Raw genomic sequence first — 25,377 nt, 5'->3', positions numbered from 1 at the left:
GCAGGGTCCTTCCGGATCACTTACACTAATGACTTCTGGGCAACTGTGTCAGTGTCAGTACAGAGTCTCTAGGGCACTCAAGAGAACATTAATCACCAAGGTTTACGTAGAGCTGACCATGTGCCAGTATCCATTTTAAACACCTTATATACATCAACTTATTTGATTCTCACAACAACCTAAGAGTTTGGTAATATTATTACCTCCATTATATAGATGAGTAAACTGAGGAACTGAGTTTAAGTAATTTTCCCCAGCTATTAAGTGTTGGAGTAGAAGTCAGATCCAAGAAACTATCTCCAGAGTCCGTGTTCTTAACCACCGTGCTTTACTGTCCTTCATACATGTGACTTGCATTTCAAAGGCTAATATTGAGAACAGGGTCAAGGAACTATTTGAAGAGATGATGACTGAAAAAATTTGCAGAACTTAAGAAAGCCATGAGTCCTAAGAGTGAATAAGTGCCTCAACTTCCAAGTAGGAAAAATAAAACTATACACCTACAGTTAACTCAGTGAAGCTGAAAAATATGAAACAGAGAAAAGTCACAAAAATAACCAGAGAGAAAGACATTATACACAAAGCACTGACACACTAACTCTCATCTTCTTTGAGGAGCAGAGGGGACCCAAAAACAATGAATAAGGCTTCAGAGAGCTAAAGGAAAATAACTATCATCCCAGAATTCTACACCCAGCTCAACTATGCAGGGAAAAATAATATTTAAATGAACAATGTCCAAGAGAGTTTACATAGGCCTTCCCTGAAAGAACTACTAAGGGGTTATGTGAGGCAGTTGAAAACAGAACTCTCACACACACAAAAAAGAGTAGAATGCAATAAGCAAGAGTGAGAAAAGAAACTGGTAAACAGCTGTAAGTTGAAATAATCAACAGTAATAATGATTTTTTAAAATTGGGGAGTTTATAAATAATATGGTACTATAATTAGACAACAAAAGATATAGGATGGGAGTATGATCAGAATTAAAGTGTTCCAAGATCATTATGTTGTTTTGGAGGAAAGTAGACATTTTTATTTAAATCATATTGGGTTAAACCAAGTGCGTATATTAGCAACATAAAGGTAAACACTGGGAGAATAAAAAATAGAATGTGTAACTTCCAAACCAGCAGACGGACTAAAACAAGAGTAAAGTACATACAATCAATCCTTTAGAAAGCAGGATAGATTTTAAAAAGAAACAATGAAAAAGCAAGTTAAGTAGGAAACACAAAATAAAACAGAAAAAAGAAAAAATATAGTCCGGGCTCAGTGGCTCATGCCTGTAATCCCAGCACTTTGGGAAGCTGAGGTGGGCGGATCCCCTGAGGTCAGAAGTTCGAGACCAGCCTGGCCAACATGGTGAAAACTCATCTCTAATAAAGATACAAGAATTAGCCGGGCGTGTTGCTGGGCGCCTGTAGTCCCAGCTACTCAGGAAGCTGAAGCAGGATAATTGCTTGAACCCAGGAGGCAGAGGTTGCAGAGAGCTGAGATTGCGCCACTACACTCCAGCCTGGATGACAGAGCAAGAAGCTGTCTCAAAAAAAAAAAAAAAAAAAAAGAGAGAGAAAATATAAATAAACCAGTAACCACAAAAAAAAAGAAAACCAACTAAACTTACTAGAGGGACACTTTCAAAACATGATGACACAGAAATGTTGAAAGTGAAGCAACATACCAAAGACAAAATAACAAAGACAGAGTTGTTTTGTAATATTAATATATGGTAAAATAGAATGTAAGGCCAAAAAAAAGCATTGATGGGATTTAAAAGAGTTATTACACAAAGAAAAAGGAAATAATTCACTAGGAAGGCATAATCATCTTGAACCTATATGCACCTAATAACATTGCTTTACAAAAAAATATAGTCAAAGTTGGTAAGATTACAAAGAAAATGAACAAATTCATAACCATATTGAGAGATCTTAACACATCTCACTCTGATGTTGATAAATTAAGCAGCCAAAAAAAATTAAGAATATAGAAGATACAAACAATATACAAGACTGAGTTAAAGAATGTATATAGGTACCGATCTATATAGACTTCTGAACGCAACTATTAGAGGAGACATATTATTTCCAACATAATGGGACAGAAAAATGATCATATACTAACCAGGACACAAAGGAATTCTCCACTAAAATTAAATAATCAATAGCATGCACACCACAATCTCTGCAATTTTATCACATTGCACCACAATGCAATAAAATTAGAAACTTGTTTTTTCAAAAACAGAAGAGAAAAAAATGCTCTTGAAGTGTTTGCATCCAAATAATTCATGAGTCAAAGAATCACAAGGAAATGATAAAACCTATTGGCTATTGAACAAGCAATATGATGAAATAATTATGTACACCAACAAATTAAGATTTAATTCAGAAATGCATTACAGAATGGCTCAATATTAGCCATATTATAAATATTAACATGGTTTGCTGCATAAATAGATCAAAAGAGAAAAAAACACATTTATGTCTATAGATTAAATACATTTGGGGGTAAAAGAGTCCTTAATTATTTATAAACACTAGTAATATAGGACGCTTTTTTTTAAGTTTAAAAGATCTCATCCCATAGATACAATCATGATTAATGGTGAAATATTAAAGTCAGGAATAGAACAAGAGAAGCCCACTGTTATTTAACATTGTCCGGAAAATACTTGCCAATTCACCTAGAAATGAAAATTAAATAGAAAGCATAAATCAGTAGAAAACAGAAAGGAGAAAATCTTCATGACCTTAGGTGGGTTTAGACTTTCTTAGACACAATACCAAAAGCATAAGCAATACAAATAAAAATAAGAGAAATTGGATTTTATCAAAATTGAAAACTTTTGTACTGCAAATGATACCATCAAGAAAATATGGCAACCCACAGAACAAGATAAAATTTGCAAATCATATATTTAATATGAAACTTGTGGCCAGGTGTGGCAGCTCATGTCTGTAATCCCAGCACTTTGGGAGGTTGAGGTGGGCAGATTACCTCAGGTCAGGAGTTCAAGACCAGCCTGGTGAAACCCCCATCTCTACTAAAAATACAAAAATTAGCCATGCATGGTGGCACATGCCTGTAGTCCCAGCTACTTGGGAGGCTGAGGCAGGAGAATCGCTTGAACCCGGGAGGCGAAGGTTTGCAGTGAGCCAAAATCACACTACTGAACTCCAGCCTGGGTGACAGAGCAAGACTGTCTCAAGATAAAACAAAAACAAAAGCAAAAAAATTAACCAGGTGTGGTGGCGGGTGCCTGTAATCCCAGCTACTTGGGAGGCTGAGGCACGAGAATGGTTTGAACCTGGGAGGAGAAAGTACCAGTGAGCCAAGGTCACACCACTATACTCCAGCCTGGACGACAGAGTGAGAGACTATGTCTCAAAAAAAAAAAAAAAAAAAAAAAAAAAAAGAAAAGAAAAAGAAAAAGAAAAAGAAAAGAAAAAAAAGAAACTTGTATCCAGAATAGATTAAAAAAATCCTTCCAACTTGATAATTTAAAAAATTTAACAACTCAATTAATTTATGGGCAAAGGATCTGAATAGATAGTCTCACAACTCAATTAATTTATGGGCAAAGGATCTGAATAGATAGTCTCTGAGAACTAAAAAGAAAATCCTAAGTCCCCCAACTGAATAAACAGTCCCCCTCTTGGCCAAGAGGAACCCAGAGAAATCTTAAAAACTGGGTTCCTGGCCATGCTGGGACGGGAGGTTGGACACACACCTCTCCCTTGCTAACCACCGTTAGACTTCCTCTCCTAAGAGTGACTACAGCAGGACTCCCATCCCTTTTGTGGTTTAGACACAACAACTGACCAGCATGAACATTAACACAGAGATCATAAGACTCACAGAACAGACTCTTTGTGGCAGTAAGACACCAAGTTATAAACATTACCTAAGGCCATGCCAGGCAAGGATAAAGTCACACACCCCTACACTTTTTATACTACTATTTATAAAAGTAAACTATGCTCTAACTGCCACAGGAGTTTCTTTTTCTCTAGCAGCTAAACAAGCACTGGTTTGGAGATAAACAATACTGAAACAATTGCAGCTTACCCACCGCCAGGCACTAACTGACCCCCTACCCCTCTGATTTACCAGCCATAACTGCAGCTTTGATTGGACAAGAGACTGATTTCAGTAACTTTCTCCTAATAAGAGACTACCCACCATGGCCTGGTTCTGGCCGGTTTACAGAGGCTGCTGTGCACTGAATACCTTCATGTCCTTTTGACATGTAGGGTTTAACTGTAATGCATTTATATGCAAAGTCTGCTACCTAAGGTAAACAAGGTAAACATGGGACGCATGTAACGTGCATGTTTGTTCAGTATGTATGCGTCCAGACCCCCCTCATGAATGTTCATAGTTCTTCCTGTAACTTGCTGAATATGCGTATTTGGCCAGCCCGTTCAGCATAAATTCCTGTTCCACCCTGCCCTCCCTCGAAGTGCTTGCTTTCGGTTTTCAGGTGGAGGCTGCGCTTCCGGCCTGTAGGTTGTGAACCCCTTCTTAAGAAATAAAGTTCTCCTTTCTAAGTCTATAAATCATGTGTTTTTTCAGCTGACATCTCCAAAGACATCCAAGTAGCAAATAAGCATGTGAAAAGATGCATCCCCAATGAGATACATCATTACTCATTGGGGAAATGCAAACCCAAACCACAGTGAAATACTAGCACACAAACACTAGGATGGCTGTGATCAGAAGGATAGACAGGCCGGGCACAGTGGCTCCTGTCTGTAATCCCAGCACTTTGGGAGGCTGAGGTGGGCAGATCAATTGAGCTCAGAAGTTTGAGACCAGCCTGGCCAACATAGTGAAACCCTGTCTCTAATAAAAATACAAAAATTAGCCGGGCTTAGTTGCGGGCGCCTGTAGTCCCAGCTACTCGGGTGGCTGAGGCAGGAGAATGGTGTGAACCTGGGGGGTGGAGCTTGCAGTGAGCCGAGATCGCCCCACTGCACTCCAGCCTGGATGACAAAGCGAGACTCCAACTCAAAAAAAAAAAAAAAAAAAGTGCTTCATTCCTTTTTACGCCTGAATAATATTGCATTGTACAGATATACACATTTATTATTATATTTTATCCATTCATCTATTGATGGATATTTGGGTTGTTTCTACCTTTTGGCGATTATTAATAAAGCTGCTGTGTACACATTCGTGTACAAAGTCTTTGGGGACATATATTTTCATTTCTCTTGGGTATACACCCAGGAGTGGAATTGCTGGGCCATTTGGTAAATCTATGCTTAACCTCTTGAGGAATTGCTAGACCGTTTTCCAAGAGTGCTGGGATTATAGGCATGAGCCACCACGCCCAGTCAACTTTAATTTTTTTAATTTTTTATTTTTTAGAGATGGGAGTACTTTTAATACAACATGGCTGAACCCTGAAACCATTATTATGCTAAGCGGAAAAAAAGACCACGCATTGTAGGATTCAATTGACATGAAATGTCCAGAATAGGCAAATGTATAGAGACAGAAAACAGATTAGTGTTTGCCTAGGACTGGGCAGGAAGGAAGGGGAGTGACTGTGAATAGCACAGGGTTTCTTTCTGGAGTGATGAAAATGTTGTGGAATTGACTGTGGCGATGGGCGCACAACACTGGGAACATACTGAAAACCATGGAATTGCACACTTCAGGTGGGTGAATGGTGAGGTATGTGATTATGTCTCAATAAAGCTGTTAACAGAGAGAGAAACACAGAGGAGAGAGAGAGAGAGGACTTCCAGACCCTAGTGACCATATTTGCATCCACTGTTCTGCCCTCCCGGCTTTGACCCTAGGAGAATTGTCTGTGCTTCTACCTATGGCCAATCCCCCACATCCACCAGCTCCAATACTCTAAGCTTCTCAAGGACTGGGCTCAAACAGTTCTCCCCTCTGAACTACCTGTTTTTCACATTCTATTCTATCAGTCTCATCAGCATACAGATATACTGTGATTTCTCCAATCCTAAAAAAAAAAATAAAAACCCCCAAAACAAAAACCTTTCAACCCCTCTTCCCTCAGCAGCTATCTTCTCATTTCTTTTTTATTTTATTTTATTTATTTATTTATTTTGAAACGGAGCATCACTCTGTTGCCCAGGCTGGAATGCAGTGGCATGATCTCGGCTCACTGCAACCTCCGCCTCCCGGGTTCAAGTGATTCTCCTGCCTCAGCCTCCCTAGTAGCTGGGATTACAGGTGCACGCCACCATGCCTGGCTAATTTTTGTATTTTTAGTAGAGACAGGGTTTCATCATGTTGGCCAGGCTGGTCTCGAACTCCTGTCCTCAAGCGATCCACCCGCCTCCGCCTCCCAAAGTGCTAGGATTATAAGCGTGAGTCACCGCACCAAGCCTATCTCCCCATTTCTTTGCCCTCATTTGCAGCAAAACACCTTGAGTTATCCCTATTCACAATCTCCAGTGTCTCTCTTCCCATTCTATCATATACTCACCAAAATCAGACCTTTGTTCCACCAAAGCCATTCTTGCCTGGAGCACATTGCAGAACCCACTGATCAGCCCTTGGTCCTCACCCACCTGGCCTGCCACCAGCATTGGGCAAAAGGGACCATGCATTCCTCTGTGGTGCACTTTCCTCACTTGGCTCCCAGGACGTGATAGTCTCCTGCTTTCTTCCTGTCTCACTGGTCCCTTCTTGCCTTGCTTTGGGTCTTCCTCATCTCCCTGGAGTCTTCGCGTTGGAATATTCCCGCTCTCAGTTATTGGTCCTCTTTGTGTCTCTATTTGCACTCCCTCGCTGACCTCGATCAGTCTTCAGGCTTTAGAAACTATCTATATGTTGATGACTCCCAAATGTATTATCTCTGAAACCACCTTTGCACCTTTGTAATACGACTGCGAGAGAAATCTGATAGCTGACTCCATTTTGCTCCTAACCTCACAAGCTGTCTTTGTTCATTCCTGGGCATAGGCCAAGCTAACTGTGGGAGGAATTTAGCTCATAGCTTAACTTTATTTTATTTATTTTTATTTAGTTATTTTGAGACAGAGTCTCACTCTGTCACCCAGGCTGGAGTGCAAGGGAGCGATCTTGGCTCAATGCAACCCCCGCCTCCCAGGTTCAAGCAATTCTCCTGCCTCAGCCTCCCAAGTACCTGGGACAAACAGGTGTACGCCACCATGTCTGGCTAATTTTTGTATTTTGAGTAGAGACAGGAGTTCACCATGTTGGCCAGGCTGGCCTCAAACTCCTGGCCTCAACTGATCTGCCGGCCTCAGCCTCACAAAGTGCTGGGATAACAGGCGTGAGCCACTGTGCCTGGCCCATAGTTCAACTTGAAAACAAAGATGACAATAGTCCCTTCCTGAAACTAACCCCCTCCTTGCTCAGGGACTAAAGCCACCTTTGTGAAACTAACAAATTAGCCACAAGGTCAAAAGATTTTACACCATCCCCAACTGCTCCTGTAGATAACATCACTATTGTAAAACCTACGACTAGTGTTTGAGGTATCTTTCAGACCTTGCTTTCCCATGGACCAGCTGGTGCCACCTGAACCAGTAACCCATACCAAGAAACTGGCTCAAATGATCTTGTGACCCCCACCCGGAAACTGTCATAGCACAATAAATGAAGAAGCTATAACTTCTACCCCCTATAATTTCATCCCTAACACAGCCGGCCAGCATTCCCCATTCCCTAGTACCCTGTCCACCAAACTATCCTTGAAAGACTCTAGCCTCCAAATTTTTAGGAAGGCAGGTTAAGAATTTATCTCCCAACTACTGCCAGGATTGCCTTGCAATTATTAAACTTTTGTTTTTTTTTGAGACAGAGTCTTACTCTGTCTCCCAGGCTGGAGTGCCATGATGCCATCTCAGTTCACTGCAGCCTCAAACTCCTGGGCTCCAGCAATCCTCCCACCTCAGCCTCCTGAGTAGCTGAGACCACAGGCATGTACCAGCATGCCCAGCTAATTTTTTGTATTTTCTGTAGAGATGGGGTATCGCCATGTTGCCCAGGCTAGTCTTGAACTCCTGGCCTCAAGCAATTCACCCACCATGGCCTCCCAAAGTGCTGAGATTAGAGGCATGAGCCACCACACCTGGCCCTCACTAAACTCTTTTTCTGCTGTAATACTCCTGCTCTTCTCTGTGTATTGGCTTTTCTGGGCAGCCAATAAGAAGAACCCATTGGGGTATAACATCTCCAGCTCTAACCTCTCTCCATAACTCCAAACTTGTATATCCAACCAAATATTCAACATCTGCCATTGCATGTGTACTGGACATCCTAAATCCTGTATGTCCTTCACCGAATGTTTAGCCTAAGCCCCTCCAACAGCTGTTCCACCCACTCTTTCCCACCTCAGCTGTGGGTCACTCCATCCTTCTAGCCGCTCAGACCAAAAGCTATCTCTTCCTCACACCCCATCTAACCCATCAGGAAATCTTGTTGGCTCTGCCTTCAAATATATCTAGAATCAACCCATCTGCTCACGTCCACTGCCAGCATCTTGGCTGGATCATCCTCTCCCACTGCCAGGCCTCTTTGCCCCTTACCATGGCAGCAACAGGGAACCTGTTTTAAAATATAATTTCAATCATTGCACTTCTCTGTTCAAAACCCTGCCATTGCTCCCCACGCACACAGAGTAAAGTCGAATTTCCTACTCTGTACTCTGTTCTGCAGGGCCCACATCTCTGTCCCCCGCCCCCACACGGCCTCATCTCCAGCGGGCCCTGTCCCCCAACTCCTGACTTCCTCGCCGTTCCTTTCACTGGGTGCCCTCTCTGCCCACACTCATCTTCACCCAGGTCAGAATTTCTCAACCTCCACACTACGGACATTTGGGGTCAGATGGTCCTCTGTCATGGGGGCTGTCCTATAGACTGTAGAGTGTTTAGCAGTGTCCCTGGGCTGTAGCCACCAGATGCCAGGAGCATCCTTGAGTCATGACCATCAAAAATGTCTCCAGCTGTTGCCAAATTCCCCTGGGAATACAATCGCCCAGGCTGAGAACCACTGGCCTAGACCATCTGTATGGTCCACATCTTCCCAACCTCTAATCTCATCTCACCTTCTCAGGGAGGCCCACCTTGACCCTTCCCTTCCTCCCTAACCCCACACTTCCAATCCCTCTTAGCCTACTTGGCTTTTTAAAGCAAGTGCCACATTCTAACACTACATAATTCATTTATTTTTTATTTTTTTAGAGACAGGGTCTTGCTCCGTTGCCCAGGCTAGAGTGCAGTGGCACAGTCATGGCTCACTGCAGCCTCCACCTCCTGGAATCGACTGATCCTCCCGCCTCAGACTCTCAAGTTGCTGGGACTACAAGTGCACACCACCATGCCTGGCTAATTAAAAAAAAATTTTTTTTTTTAGAGACGGAGTCTTGCTATGTTGCCCAGGCTTGTCTCAAACTCCTGGCCTCGAGGGATCCTCCCGCTTCGGCTTCCCAAAGTGCTGGAATTACAGGCATGAGCCACCACACCCGGCCATCATATACTTAAGTATATTAGTGTTCACTGTCTGCTGCCCTTACCAGAACACTGACTCCATGGGGGCTGGGATTCACCTCTGCTTCACGTCCTGCTGTATCCCCCAGTGCCTAGAACAGTACCTGACATGCACCCAGCACACACTTTGTTCTCCATAAATATTTGTTGAGTACATGGATCAGCTCAGAAGACCCAGTATAATAATAATAAATACAGTAAATCTGGGAACACTGGCTCATGCCTGTAATCCCAGCACTTTGGGAGGCTGAGGTGGGTGGATCACCTGAAGTCAGGAGTTCGAGACTAGCCTGGCCAACATGGTGAAACCGCATCTCTACCAAAAATGCAAAAATTAGCCAGGTGTGGTGGCAGGTGCCTGTAGTCCCAGCTACTCGGGAAGCTGAGACAGGAGAATGGCTTGAACCCAGGAGGTGGAGGTTGCAGTGGGCTGAGATCGAGCCACTGCACTCCAGCCTGGGTGACAGAGCGAGACTCCGTTTCAAAAAATAAAAAATTAATAAATAAATAAAGTAAAGGAGTCAATGTATCCTTATTTGTAAGGATAAATAGTAAACTTATCCTAAATTTATGTGTAAGTGAAACACTATCCTAACACTAATCTTCGCTAGATATTATTTGAAATGTGACGCCCTACATCCAAAATAATAAAAATGTGATATCACACAAGAATCATAATAGAGGGGATCTGCCTCCTAAGATACTAGAAATGCGCTCCTAAGCTACGATAATTAAAATCGTGGGTGCTGGGACTAGAAGAGTCAGGCTAGAACAGAAGAGTATAGAAGAGGCCCTAGTTAACACAGGAATTAAGCAAATGGTCAAGGTGGCATTTAAAAATCAGCAAGCAAAGAGTGAATGTTCCATAAATGATGCTGGTACAACTGGCTGGCCATTTCGCACCTGCGGCATATGTGTGTTATTTAGAAATATGGAGGCAGAACTGCAGTGCCTGCTGGGGAAATGGCTAGAAGAGTCATAGGTGGCTGCCTCCAGAACACGGGCTCAGGAGAGCTGGGGAGGGAGGGAGCAGAGAACTGGTAGATTTGTTAAAAGCCTTTTTTTTATTATTTATGCCTTCTTAAGCTATGCACATGCATGACTTTGGTAAAAATAAAATGTATGTTAAAAAGGCAATAATCACGCCCCTCTTTAACCTATCTAATTGACACAGATTTAAAAAATAAAAAACAAAGATTCCCAGTGCGGTTGTGATTATGAGAAAAAATAGGCCCGCTCACGCACCGCTTGGTCTTTCTGGAAGGTGATTTGTTGGGAAGTACTAAAAGTTTTAAAGACGGGCATACCCTTTGAGACAACTATTCCACTTCTAGGAATTTATGCTGGGATGGCACAAAGGTATACTGCAAGAAGGTTCATGTCAACATGCTTTAAAATTGAAAAACAAAAACGAAAACCCCCAAAATGTCCAACAAGGAACCGGTTCTATAAATTATGATAAATTCATGGAAAGGGATGCCGTGTAGGTGTCAAAAGCAAGACAGAAACAGATTCATCACCATGGAAAAGAATTCATGATATGCAAAGTGATTAAACAGGTTATGTGCGGTAGGCATAAAGATTATTGCATTTTGATAAAATGAAAATGATTTACGAGTTTACGTATATAAAGCGATAGAGACGTAAGGTAGCCCCTTCTCTGGGACAATGTATGCCAACACCAGAGCCAGAAGGATTCAAAGGACGGTAAGACTTTAATCTTCTTTTTGCTCTTGCAAAGGCATTTCCGCAGGGAATCTTTAAGACTCCTGGCTGGGCGCAGTGGCTCACGCCTGTAATCCCAGCACTTTGGGAGGCTGAGGCAGGCAGATCACTTGAGGTCAGGAGTTCAAGACCAGCCTGGCCAACATGGTGAAACCCCATCTCCACTAAAAATACAAAACTCAGCCGAGTGTGGTGGTGCGTGTCTGTAATCCCAGCTACTAGGGAGGCTGAGGCACAAGAATTGCTTGAACCCAGGAGGCAGAGGTTGCAAAGAGCCGAGATCGTGCCACTGCGCTCCAGCCTGGGCGACAGAGACCCTATCTCAGAAAAAAAGAAAAAAAAAAGACTTATGAAGGTGGAAGCTAGAATGCTGAGGTCAGATTCCTTGGAAGTGGGAGGTGGAGTGGGGGGGGGCCCTCTGCTGCCCACTCATCCACGGGGTCCTGGGGGAGTGGGCCAGACTCCAGAGGCACACAGAGCCCAGCCAGTCGCCCACCCATCTGCAGTCCCAGAGGTGAGGGCTTTGGCCCCTTCCCAGCAGACAGGGATGTCCCAGAACAAAGGCCACAGTCAGTGGGTGCTGAGCCCCACAGCCCTGCAGCCATGGCCTGTGGTCTTGGTGGTTCCTGTCCCTTTCCAGGGCTCTGGTGAGACACTAGGCCCCAGGCCCTCATCCTCCAGGCGGAAATCATCCACCTTGTCAGTGAAGTTCTGGACTCCAAATTCTTCAGGCCCAGAGGCCAAAGTAATATACAGACATATGGTTTGGTCAGCGTAGGACTTTGGTTTTAAATTCTGAATTAGTCTCCAGACTTCAGAGGGGAAGCGATTTCATATAAAAATGGACCTGTGTTCTTGAATATGTGAATACCTGGCCACCCTGGAAACCCTCATCCCTTTCTGCGATGACAGCGGGAGTCCCACTGCCCCCTTCCAAAGCAGCAGGTCCCCCCTCCCCACACACCGCCCCCGACATCCCAGACCATACCCCTCCTTTGCCCTGAGGCCTGACTCCAAGGGTAGCTAAATTTTCCACCCTGGGCTGTCCAGAACCCCCTCATTTCTGGGCTATCTGAGGCTCCTTCTCCCTACTTTACCAGCCCCCTTCTTCCCTTCCATCTTCAGCTATGGGAACCAGTTCCAATACACCACCAATCCCCAGCCGGTGTGCCACCTTGCCCCCCTGGGGAGATAGAAGTTTCCTTGCAGAAAACTCCTCACCGCAAGCTGAGGTGTGGCAGCTCAGATCTGGGGGAGCCCTTAACCCTGCTGCTCCTCAAACCCTGCCCAGGGGGTGGTGGGGCGGAGATCTAGGCTGAGACTGAGAAGCTGGTCAGTGCCTCACCCCCAGTCCTGACCTCAAGAAGGGGTCTCGGGCCAGAAACAGCAATCCTGTTCCCCGAGGACTCTGATCCTGGCAGAAGAGGACTCACCCAGCCTACCATGGGTTTAGGAACAGGTAAGTCCCTAAGAGCCAGGATCTTGGGCTGAGTTGCCTGGATGCTCTGGGATGGACGGTGCAGACAGGTTTGTAGGGAAGGGCTCTCGGGACAGCCACCTGCGAGGAGCTGAGGAGGGCAGGAGCAGGCAGAGAGAGAAGCCGACAGCAGTGCCTCTCAGCTGAGGACTCAGCCCATCCCATAGGTGCTCTGGTGCTGGGAGGGACCTTCAGGGCAGTCCCAAATGGAGACAAGGGGCTGGGCCTTTGTGATCCCACAGCAGTAGCAGTCCCTGGCGGTGGGATGGGGTGTGACTTTGGGCAAGGAGCTCCCTGGGGCCCAGGGCAGTTCCCATCCCGGGGCGCCCCTGGGAGCATCAGCAGCAGATATTCCCAGCAGCCCCCACACCTGGGCAGAGCAGCACCTTGGCCATCACCCAGGGGCCAGCAGGGAGGCGTCGTGGAGCACCCCACTTCGCTGGAAGGAGGAGGGAGGTTCCTTCTTGGGCAAGACCACCCAGGAAGGGCCAGAGATGCAAGAGGAGAGTGCGCTGAAGATTCAGTCACATCCCCGGCATTTATTGGCAACAGAACATTAATTCCGACTGTCATTAGAGTCCATTTCAATTTTGTAATAACATAAAAAAGTTAAGAGTCTAATTTATTCATACAAATCTTGTTAGCATCCAACTTCCACATAATGTAATATATTCCTTAGAAAGCTGACAAAGCAGGAGAAATTAAAAACATAAAAGACATCCATGGGCTCTCAAGGCCACAGAGCCAAAGGTGAGTGAGAGGTCGGGGAGACCAGGGCAGCTCCAGAAAGGGCTGGAAGCTTGGAACAGGAACGGACAGACCTGGAGAGGTGGGCTGAGCCACCCAAAGGAGCCATGGCTTCCACCACATCCCAGATTGAAACTGTCCCCACAGGGTTGGCAAGAATTGCACGCTAGGTTCTGGACAGAAATATAGTTATAATTAAGCATTAATCAGGCTGCACTCTGGCCCAGTTCCTTGTGGCAAGGAGTCACGTGGTGCTAGATCCTGGCCGTGGTCACCCCCATTGCTCCTATAGGTAAGATTTCTGACATTAGGGTCATAAAATGGTGTAAGAATTGATTTGCTTTGCTGGGCGCAGTGGCTTACGCCTGTAATTCCAGCACTTTGGGAAGCCGAGGTGGGCGGATCACGAGGTCAGGAGTTCGAGACTAGCCTGGCCAGCATGGTGAAACCCTGTCTCTACTAAAACTACAAAAAAAAATTAGCCAGGCATGGTGGCGCATGCCTGTAGTCCCAGCTACTTGGGAGGCTGAGGCCAGAGAATCACTTGAACCTGGGAGGTGGAGGTTGCAGTAAGCCGAGATCGCGCCACTGCACTCCAGCCTGGGAGACAGAGTGAGACTCTGTCTCAAAAAAAAAAAAAAAAATTTGATTTGCTTCTCCATTGTCCCTATAGACAGGACCCCTGATTTTAGAATCATAAGGTTTTTGTTCACTTAAGATGTTGAAAAGACCCCAAATTGCCCCCAACAGTTTGAGGACCCCCTACAGAGGAGGGGGATCAGCCTGAGAACACAGCTTCTTCCTCTCCCGGTCCCAAGACTTTACCCTGCACTCTTCCACCCATCAACGATCTCCACACTTCACCCACTCCAAAACTTACAAATCCTAACCCCACATTCCCCAGGGAGATGGATTTGAGGTTGTCTGCCATCTCCTCGTTCCATGACCTTACCATTAATCCTCTTTTTCTGCCGCAACCTGGCATCTTAGCACATTGACTTGCTGCGTGCATCAGGCAATGGACCTGTTATGGTTACAAGGCTGCCCCGATGCTGAGAGGCTCCTCCTGGCCACCTCTGCAGCCCCCACACCATCCCAGTGCCATGCCCCTGCCCCTGGGCTCCAGACAGCACCCTAGCACTTCCCTCAGCAAATTCATCCTCGAGCGCTGTAACTCCTCTTAATTACACGTCTGCAGTGTTTGCATTAGATAGCTGTCACCCTGTAATTTACCCGTACACGGGTTTTAACTGTACATTAATCTTTTCTACATGCCACTCCCCTGCTAGAATCTCGAATGGCAGCAGTTTGGGCCATTTTGTTTATTCCTCAGCCAAAAATAGCTGATGAACGTAATCGCATATTGTACCTCCTCTTTTTTTTTTTTTTTTTTTTTTTGGTCAGGATCACCTGCTGTGTGCTAGGACTGGAGAGAGGCTCCTGTCACCTGCAAGCCACCTTTAAGCACAATATTTGACTGTTTCCTGGCTGACAGCAATTTTAGAAGAAAGGTCAGCAGCAACAAGAAATCTTCTGATCCCCAGCCATGCATTCTCTGGGTGCCCCCCATCCACATCCTCTCCCTCAAGCTCTTGCCTGATGGACCAGGGAGCACTCACTTGGGGAGCAATCTCACCAGGGGATGGAGGACAACGTGTGAACCTAAAAAATCCACCAGCATGCAGGTTCCAAGGTCACTTGGAGAACCACGAAGGTGAACTATAAATTACAAAGCCCTGGCTGGCTGCCAGGGCCCCAGGAAGCTACATTTAGCATATCATTCTCCCAGCAGCAGGATGAAGCCTTAACTCCCTTTCCGACAGAATTTGAATGGAATTGGTTACAAGAACATTGTGATTGAAATATCACCAATTGGCTTTTCATGACAACTCAGCGATAGATTGCAATTGCTATGGAGAGCGTGTGTGTGCTGAGGGGTGGCTGTTGTGCACTGTGGCCGGCCAAGGTGGCAATGAGGGAGTCCCATACAATATTTATGAAATTCAGATGAAGTCCTACACTGGCAATGAGCTGATATCATAACACAGATTTCAAAAACGCCTTGACATTTGCCCGAGATCAAATTTCCCCTTGCGAAAACCCACGAGGCTTTGTGCTGACAGCGGTCTGCATGCTTTGCCCCCACCTGCAACCTTCTTCGTTTAAGCTTGGGTAATTAACACTGCCATGGGAGGAGGCTGGAGGGGCTGGAGGCACAGATACAGTAGAATAATGCCACACAAGTCCACTTTTCCTTTGAGGAAAACGTCAGCGGTGGTGTTCGGTGGTGAAAGACAGGAGTTTTGATAATTTTTATTGTTAAACACTTTCCGACCAGCAAAACAAAGCTCGAGTGATATCCTGAAATTGGTGAGGCTCTGACAGCATATTTGGATGGAGAGAGCTATGCAGGGAAGATCCATCACACAGTCGCCCAGGAAACAAACATGAGAGCAAGAAATCTATCTCCTTGGGGCCAAAGATCTCATTTGGGCGCAGCCTTTATTTCCTTTTAGGGCAGCCTTGGAGAATCTGTTAGGAAGGGGATGTTTGAGCCTTCCTGGAAGAGGGGGCATGCTGCTTCAGATCCTACACTTTGGGACCTTTCTTTTTTTTTTTTTTTTTCTTAAGAGATAAGGTCTTGCTCAGGCTGGAGTCCAGTGGTGCCATCATAGCTCATTGCAGCCTCGAACTTCTGGACTCAAGCGATCCTCCTGCCTGGGCCTCCCAAAGAGCTGGGATTACAGGCGTGAGCCACCACACCCAGTGAAAGGTTCACTTTCGACTGGGCACGGTGGCTCACGCCTGTAATCCCAGCACTTTGGGAGGCCGAGGCAGGCAGATCACAAGGTCATGAGATCGAGACCATCCTGGCTAACAGGGTGAAACATCGTCTCTACTAAAAATACCAAAAATTAGCCGGGTGTGGCAGCGTGCGCCTGTAGTCCCAGCTGCTGGGAAGGCTGAGGCAGGAGAATGGCGTGAACCCAGAAGGCGGGGCTTGCAGTGAGCTGAGATCCCGCCACTGCACTCCAGCCTGGGTGACAGAGCGAGACTCCGTCTCAAAAAAAAAAAAAAAAGAAAGCGAACCTTTCTTTAGGTATCTCACACCCCACAGGGATCCTTCTGTCAGAGGCGTGTGAGCCAGAGCAACTCCATCTTGAATAGGGGCTGGGTAAAATGAGGCTGAGACCTACTGGGCTGCATTCCCAGATGGTCAAGGCATTCCAAGTCACAGGATGAGATAGGAGGTCAGCACAAGATACAGGTCATAAAGACATTGCTGATGAAACAGGTTGCAGTAAAGAAGCCAGCCAAAAGCTACCAAAACCAAGATGGTGATGAGAGTGACCTCTGGTCGACCTCACAGCTACAATCCCGCAAGCACCATGACAGTTTACAAATGCCATGGCAACATCAGGAAGTTACCCTCTATGGTCTAAAAAGGGGAGGCATGAACAATCCATCCCTTGTTTTGCGTATCATCAAGAAATAACCATAAAAATGGGCAACCAGCAGTGGTTGGGGGCTGCTGTGTCTATGGAGTAGCCATTCTTTTATTCCTTTACTTTCTTTCTTTTTTGAGACTGAGTTTCGCTCTTGTTGCCCAGGCTGGAGTGCAATGGCGCGATCTCGGCTCACTGCAACCTTCGCCTCCCGGGTTCAAGCGATTCTCCTGCCTCAGTCTCCTCAGTAGCTGGGATTATAGGCGCCAGCCCCCATGCCCGGCTAATTTTTGTATTTTTAGTAGAGATGGGGTTTCACCATGTTAGCCGGGCTCGTCTCGAACTCCTGAGCTCAGGTGATCCGCCCGCCTTGGCCTCTGAAAGTGCTGGGATTACAGGCGTGAGCCACTGCGCCCGGACTACTTTCTTAATAAACTTGCTTTCACTTTACGGTATGTACTTGCCCGAATTTTTTCTTGTGCGAGACCCAAGAACCCTCTCTTGGGGTCTGGATCGGGACCCCTTTCCTGTAACACTTCTACCTCTAACTGTGGCTTCTGGAGACAAAGACTCAGGCACTCACGCACATACCAGGACCCGTAGTGGTGAGACGTGAAATACTGCATAGGGCCCAAGCCTGAAGCCGCCAGGTTGTTTACGAGTCAAGGCAAGGGCGATTTAGGTGGTTTTTGATAAACACTTCATATTCCACATCCTAAGAGAAGCAGAATACTTGTCAAGCATGCATCTTTATGAGCTGTCTGCCTATAAACCTTGCGCGAGAGGTCCGTGCTTAATGTTGGTTTGGCAGTAAATTGGCGCGATGCACAGGTCTGCCGCATCAAATTAGCATCGACTCGTAAAACGTTACTGAATGATTCCTCAAATCTGCCAAGTCTTCAGATCAATTTTGGAGAAAGCGTCAAGAGGTTTTTTTTTTTTTTTTAACTTTGATAAACCTTTCATATTAGTTATCACAGAAAAGCATAAACCTCTCTAATCTGTCTTCCCACCAAAAAAAAAAAAGTGTTGTTTTTCCCAAACTGCTTTTAGCTCTTCCGTCTTTGCGCGCCCGCCTCCACATCGCATAAACAATGTGTGCGCCATGGATTCATTTTTGCCCTATTTTAAAGCAAACGGTAGTTGGCTCACACTGTCCATGCACTGTAGTCCCAAAGCTTGGAGAGAATTTCCACTGTACCAAGATAAAGTTCTCACCCCTGGCCTTTGAGGTAAGCAATCCCCAGCTCGCCTCCTCCAAGAAGCCTTCCATAGCTCTCCAGTGAACCCTGACCATCGCCTTATGCCCTTGTGTGGTGGGTCAACTGGACCGCAGTATCTCCGGGGAACTAAGCCCGCATTTTTTCCACTGCTGGCCCTCAGGGACGGAGCTCATGCTGAGTGGTCCATGAGGTGTTGTCACCCCCCCACCCATCTTTGAGGCCTAGCCTGGGCCTCCCTCCTCTGTGGAGGAGGTGCCATCATAACTCACTGCAGCCTCCAACTTCTGGGCTCAAGAGATCCTCCTGCCTGGGCCTCCCAAAGAGCTGGCATTACAGGAGGAATCCCAGCTAGGATCCCTTGCCCTCCCTCCCTGCTAGCTAAGTCAGGGTTGTGTATACGAAACTGCCTCCCTCCTCTTGTGGCAGTGACTGGGTCTCAAAACCACCCAAAGGGTCTGACCCAGAGCTCTCCTCCCCCAGGCCATCCTGCTTTCCCAGTAGTTCTGCTAAACTTGAGGAGGGAGGGGCAAGCCACACCCAAAGAAAGGAGGCTTCACCACGGTCTTCATGAAAACGCTGAGGGGCAGGAGTGGAGCAGCTGATGACAGGAATGGCCCTTCTGCCTTAGTTTGACCAAGGGCACATCATCTATGAAAAGACGGTGTTGGAAAAGCTCAGGGGGCCGCATGGTGCAGGGATGGATTGCTGTTCTTTTCGGGGGATCAGGGGGCTCCTAAGCTTCTCCAGAGGGACCCAATAACACATGCATCATCAGGGAGGAGGTCGCCCAAGGAGGCTCTCAAATGGCCAGTGCCTAGAGGACTGGGGGTGAGCAAGGCTGCTGGGGGCACGGCTGCAGCTCTGTTGGAAGTTGGCTTTGGAGAAGGAGGAGGTCATTCAGACATGGGACACCCCCCAGCGAGCGAGAAACCAACTTCCAGAGCCCTCACCACGGCAGCCCAGTTGACTAACGAGTCCCCGCCAAGTCAGCTGGGGTGGGAGAGGATGGAGACAACAATGGGAAACCCTTCAACCCAGCAGGTCTGCCCTGTGCAGGACTATTCTGGGCATTGTGACACAGCCGTGGACATGACAGAAAGGGCAGCATCCATGCTTTTTTTTTTTTTTTTTTTTTTTTGGTTTCGTGACAAGAAAAAAAAAAAACAGCCCTAGAAGGACCAATGGGTCAAGGGCTGTCTGATGAGTCCGGGGCTGGGCCAGGGCTCAGCACCTGCATCTCTGACCAGCAACCCACGTGATTCTGGGGCAGGTGGCCAGTTCCCCAGACTCATCCAGAGAAACTCTTGTCTACTCCATCCCTTGGCTTCCAGCCTGGGAGATTCAAACCCGCCCAGAAGAAATCAGAAGCACTGCCAGACGTTTCCACAATGTGGGGATGGAAGTGAGTTCTACAATTTGGGGACGAAAGGAAATTTTCAAATTTGTTGAATAATGTTTCCAGGTCCAAAATATCCTTGGTAAAAAAATGAACTGCATTCGTCATCTGAGAAATAAAATTAAAACCACGGTGTGATACCTCGGCATACTCATAGAATGGCTAAAATGGGAAAAACTCACAATGCCAAGTATTGGACAGGACGTGGAGTGGGAGAGTTACGTACGGAACACTCATGCATATACTGGTGAGGAGGTGGAAACATCAGTACGACCCCTTTAGAAAACAGTCCAGCAATGGAGTCGGGAGTGGTGGCTCATGCCTGTAATCCCAGGACTTTGGGAGGCCAAGGCGGGAGGATCGCTTAAGCCCAGGAGTTCGAGACCAGCCTGGACAACATGGGGAAACCCTGTCTCTACAAAAAATACCAAAACAAAACAAAACAAAACAAAAAGCTGGGAGTGGTGGTGGTGCACACCTGTGGTCCCAGTTACTTGGGAGGCTGAAGCAGGAGGACCACCTGAACGTGGGAGGTCAAGGCTGCCGTGAGCCATGATCACGTCACTACCCTACAACCTGGGCAACAGAGTGAGATCTTGTCTTAAACACACACACACACACACACACACACACACACACACACACGAAAAAGAAAACTGTTCAACAGTACCTGCACCCTGGGGCCCAACAATTCTCTTCTAAGTACATCAGGAATGTGCAGGAACTGGACATGATGACACACACCTGTAATCCCAACACTTTGGGAGGCCAAGGCAGGAGGATCACTTGAGCTCAGGAGTTCAGGACCAGCCTGGGCAACAAAGTGAGACCCCCCCATCTCTACAAAAATAAAAATAAAAAATTAGCCAGCATGGTGGTGCACACCTGTGGTCCCAGCTACTTGGGAGGCTGAGGCGGGAGGCTGGCATGAGCCCAGGAGTTCAAGGCTGCAGTGAGCTGTGATTGCGCCACTGCACTCTGGCCTAGATGACAGAGCAAGATCCTGTCTCTAAAAAAGGAAAAAATGTGTACATATCACTAAGAGACACACACAAGAATATCCATAGCAATACTGTCCATAAAAGCCAAAAACTCTAACCCAAATGCCAATCAACAAGAAACTGGAAAATAAATTAGGGTCTACCCACATGATGGAATCCTGTACAAAGAGGAAGGAACAAATAACACAACTCAAAACAACATGGATGAATCTCAGAAACCAGATGCTGACCCAGACATGGGAGCATACATACTGCATGATTCCATTTCTATTAAGTTTAAAAACAAGGGGCCAGGTGTGGTGGCTAATGCCTGTAATCCCAGCACTTTGGGAGACCGAGGCGGGTGGATCACCTGAGGTCAGGAGTTCAAGACCAGCCTGGCCAACATGGTGAAACCCCGTCTCTACTAAAAATACAAAAATTAGCTGGGTGTGGTGGTGCGTGTCTGTAATCCCAGCTACTAGGGAGGCTGAGGCACAAAAATTAGCCAGGTGTGGTGGCATGCACCTGTAGTCCCAGCTACTCGGGAGGCTGAGGCAGGAGGATCACTTTAACCCAGGAGGCGGAGGTTGCAGTGAGCCGAGATTGCACCACTACACTTCAGCCTGGGCGATAGAGTGAGACTGTATCTCAAACACACACACATACACACACACACACACACACACACAAGGAAAACCAATCCATATCGTTAGAAGTAAGGGGAGCGGTTTTCTGTGGTGGAGGGGAATGACTGGAAGAGGTCATGGGGGGGTTCTGGGGTCCTGGTCATGTTCTGATCCCTGCTCCAGTGCTGGGTACACAGCACACTCAGTTTGCAGACATTCACTGCATTGTATACGTAGGATCTGTTCGCTTTTCTGTATGTGTACTACACTTGGAATAAAAGGCTTAAATATGTACAATGGTGCATGCAGGACAAGAAGAAGACATCATTAGCAAACTGCTTAGAAAAAAATGATTTGGCTGGGTGTGGCAGCTCACACCTGTAATCCCAGCACTTTGGGAGGCCGAGGCAGGTGGATGGCTTGAGCTCAGGAGTTCAAGACTAGACTAGGCAACATGACAAAACCTTTTCTCTACTAAAAATACCAAAAAACAAACAAACAACAATAGCCAGGCATGGCGATGGGAGCTTGTAGTTCCAGCTACTCGGGAGGCTGAGCTGGGAGGATTACTTGAGCCCGGGGGATGGAGGTTGCTGTGAGCTGAGATCGCACCACTGCACTCCAGCCTGGGTGACAGAGGGAGACCCTGTCTGGAAAAAAAAAAAAAAAAAGAGAGAGAGAGAGACAAGAAAAGAAAAAGCAGAACTTGAGGGGACACTGGCCAGTGGGGCTGCCTGCCCCCTAAGCCTCTGTCACATCACCAGGCAAGGCCCTTGACCAATATGCTTCCTGACACCCAAGATAAAACGGGAGTAGTAATAATAATAGTAATAATAGCAGTAGCAGCTGCCACTGATTGTGGACTCTTAGGCACAACAGCTCTAGGAGGTGGATTCTCTTGTTAACCCCGTTTTGTGGATGAGGAAACTGGGTCCCTAGCCCACACAGTGACCGAGTGGTAAGGCTAGGATTGAACCCAGGTGGTCTGACTCCAGGTCCCAGCTTCAGCCGCAACCTAGAGGTGGCTGCCTGGGGTGGAGGGAGGGCGGGGAGTGGTTGCCATGGCTGTGCGCTGACACATTAACTCGTGGAAGAGGGAATCAAGAAGAGTGAAATAATAGGCATAGATTGTGCTTTCACAGGGATGAATGGTCATGAAATTAAATTTGCAGATGAGGCCAAACCTCATGAGGCCCCAAATCTAAGCAGGAAACAGCAAGATGGCCCCAACCAGGAGAAATGCAATTTACCACGCACACCAAGGTGGTAATCCTCGCTAAATGACTTTTGTGAGAAAGAGGCGTGTGAGTGGCTGTCGCGAGGGATGGCAAGGTAGTGATGACCACTGACAGCAGGTAGCCTCTGCACCAGCACAGGCCCAGCCCCAGGCACAGCAACAGGGAGGGGAAATCCACGTGCGATCCCAGTGCCACTCCCAGCCCATGTCAGCCTCTGCCAAGGAGATTCAAACAGACACACGAAAGCTGAGTCTTTGGAAGTCAGAATCAAATCAGACCCAGATGTCTATAGGAGGTGTAAGGAGGAATATTCCCGGGAGAAAGAATCACATAGGAAAAAGGGAAGGTGTCAGAAAGAACCAAGAGCTCTGGCCTCAGCAAGCCAGAGAGAGGCTGGCTGCCCCAGCTCAACCTGTGTGGGCAGATTGCTGAATCACATGCTGAGCCCAACCAGCATAGACAGCGCCGGCTTTTTGCACTGGCTCAATCAGTGTAGACAGCCTGCCTATATCACATACTGATTCCAACTAGTGTAGACAGACTGCATTGCACACTGGGCTTGACCACCCCAGCTCTGGGAGACAGAGCCTGATGGACGTGGCCAACATCTGAGGGGAAGCCCGGACCCAGGCTGAGCTCAGCCACAGGAAAAGCCACTGAATCTACAGAGTTTGAGAGCTCTGAACCTTGTGCAAAGACCCCACAGAGAGTGGGGCAAGCACAGACTACATGGAATGTTCTAGTGCTCATGCCCTAGACTCAACCAAGTGTAGACAGACTGCCTGCCCCACACTCTGTCTTAGCCAGTGTAGATAGACTGCCTGACCCATGCACTGGCTCCGTCAGTTAGACAGACTGCCTGTACCACGCACTGGCCCCACCAGTGTAGACAGACTGCCTGACCCACGTGCTGGCTCCGTCATCGTAGACGGACTGCTTGCCCCATGCACTGGCCCCACCAGTGTAGACAGACTGCCTGCACCACACACTGGCCCAGCCAGTGTAGACAGACTGCCTTCCCCACGCACTGGCCCCACCAGTGTGGACAGACTGCCTGACCCACGTGCTGGCTCCGTCAGTGTAGGCGGACTGCCTGCCCCATGCACTGGCCCCACCAGTGTAGACAGACTGCCTGCACCACACACTGGCCCAGCCAGTGTAGACAGACTGCCTTCCCCACGCACCGGCTATGCTGAAGTAGACAGACTGCACAGTTTAATGCACTCTGCCTGCCCACAAGCAATCGCTCAGTACCTTCTCCATGCCGAGCTCCTCCTGGCCAACACAACCAGAAAGAGCAGCATCTGCACCAACACTGTAACCTGCTTGTGTTTGCTCAACTTCTCCAGGGCCAGGTGTACGAGGCTCTGCATATGGCAGGTCAGGGTCAGTGTTTGCTGGGTGCCTGGATGCGGCACAGGAAGCAAAGCTCCTGCAGCTCAAGGCTGGAGGAGGGTCTCAGTGCTGCAAGCCTAGGCTGATGAGTCTTGTCCCAAGAGATGAGTCAGCCCCCAAAAAGGCAGCCTCGAAGGTGGGGACGACTTGTCTGCCAAGTGCGAGTCAGTCTGTGCCCGGGCTAGGGGCTGCTGGCAGAGGGGCTCTCCTGTGTCAGCTTCCCACTGATAAGCATCTGGGCATGTCCAGGGGTCCACAGTGGTGAAGGCAACAGACAGAATGGAGTGGCCAGGCCAGCCCAGGAAGGCTCATCTGGAGAGGCCGCCCTCTGGGCAAGGAATCAGCCCTGGGAGGGGGCCTAGGGGACCAAGGAGTAATGTGCAGCTCCTAGCATCCTCTGCTTAGCTCTCTTCCCTCCTGTCCCCGAGTCTGGCCCAGTCAGGGAGGAGCTGGCTCAGGCCCAGACAGTGAGGACAAGGTGACAGCGACCTGGGCTGTTGCCTGCAGCTCGGTGGCCACTCAGCTCAGGGCCTGCAGCCAGCAGCATGGGCACAACGGGAAATGGGGTGACTCACAGACCTGCTTCCCTGCTCCCCAGCTCTGGAGGACAGAGCCTGGTAGATAGGGCCGATGTCTGCAGGGAACCCAGGGCCCGACCTGTGCTGCAGACAGCCACAGGAAATTCACCAACATCAGAGGGCACTGCGGAGCTCCCAGCCTTGGGCAGAGCCCCTCCCAGAGGGTGCAACAGGTAGAGACTGGCTCCCTTGGGGAGGAGGAAAAGGAGAGAGGGCTGAGAGCAAGAAAAGGGTATAAGAGAGGATTCTTTCTGGGGCAGGTGCCAGCCAGCTGCCAGGTTACATCAGGCAGGTGGCAGGTGAAGGAACTCTAGGGGTCCAGGAAGCTAAGTGGATGAAACACACATGGAGACCACCACTGGGCAGCACTCAGCTCCGGAGGGAAGTGGGCATCCGAGCCACAGTGGGTGGTCAGCTCCATTCCCCCAGTGGAGGCCCATCCTCAATGAGTCAGGAGGCAAAAGTTGGGCCAGGACCATGGGTCTGGCCGTCGAGCAGCTTGTCCCCACCATGGAGCTATGGGCACTGGGCTGTCACTTGCCGAGTGCCCTGGACGTGCTAGGGCTGAATGGTGAGCAGACAAGAGAGGAAGGCAGTGGAAGAACCAAGGGCTCAGAGCACAGTGGGGCCACACAACCAGCAGCCTGGCCACCCAGTCCTAGGAGGATGTGACTCAGCCAGAGTGGACAGGTGCTTAGCACTCCAGGGGGCAGCCCTGTCTCAGGGAGTAGACAACTCCCAATAGCGTCCCATGGGTAACCATCCTGACCACTCCTTACCACATCCCCTCCCACACCTAATCCAGCCAGGTACCAGTTTAGACAGAATGACTTGCAGAATGCACTGGTTCGACCAGTGTAGACAGATGGCGTGAATGGTGTGCTGAGATCCACCAGTATAAACAGATGGCCTGCATCATGAACTAGGGGCTCAACCAGTGTTACAGTGCCTGCTTTGTGCACTAGCTCAACCAGCGTAGACGCACCGCCTACACCGCCCACTAGTTTCAACCAGCGTAGATGCACTGCCTACATCAC

The 25,377-nt window shown here is 47.9% G+C and overlaps 1 protein-coding gene across 2 annotated transcripts in view, besides 1 other annotated feature; it reads right to left on the bottom strand.

Annotated features, from left to right (window-relative positions):
• The window catches only part of CHST8 (carbohydrate sulfotransferase 8), a 151,557-nt gene that overhangs the window by 119,570 nt on the left and 6,610 nt on the right, over positions 1-25,377 (bottom strand). The window lies entirely within an intron of this gene.
• Positions 15,037-15,568: an enhancer, noted in NCBI's record as "OCT4-NANOG hESC enhancer chr19:34129278-34129809 (GRCh37/hg19 assembly coordinates)". NCBI's record gives its function as "activates a minimal SCP1, AML or CMV promoter by ChIP-STARR-seq in naive H9 embryonic stem cells {active_cell/tissue: H9 hESC(naive)}" and the evidence as "EXISTENCE:reporter gene assay evidence [ECO:0000049][PMID:30033119]".

This window comes from Homo sapiens, chromosome 19 (genome assembly GCF_000001405.40).
Source record: "Homo sapiens chromosome 19, GRCh38.p14 Primary Assembly".
Taxonomy (NCBI): domain Eukaryota; kingdom Metazoa; phylum Chordata; class Mammalia; order Primates; family Hominidae; genus Homo; species Homo sapiens.
Note: the sequence above shows the minus strand (reverse complement) of the source record. Positions and strands in the feature narration are given on the sequence as shown.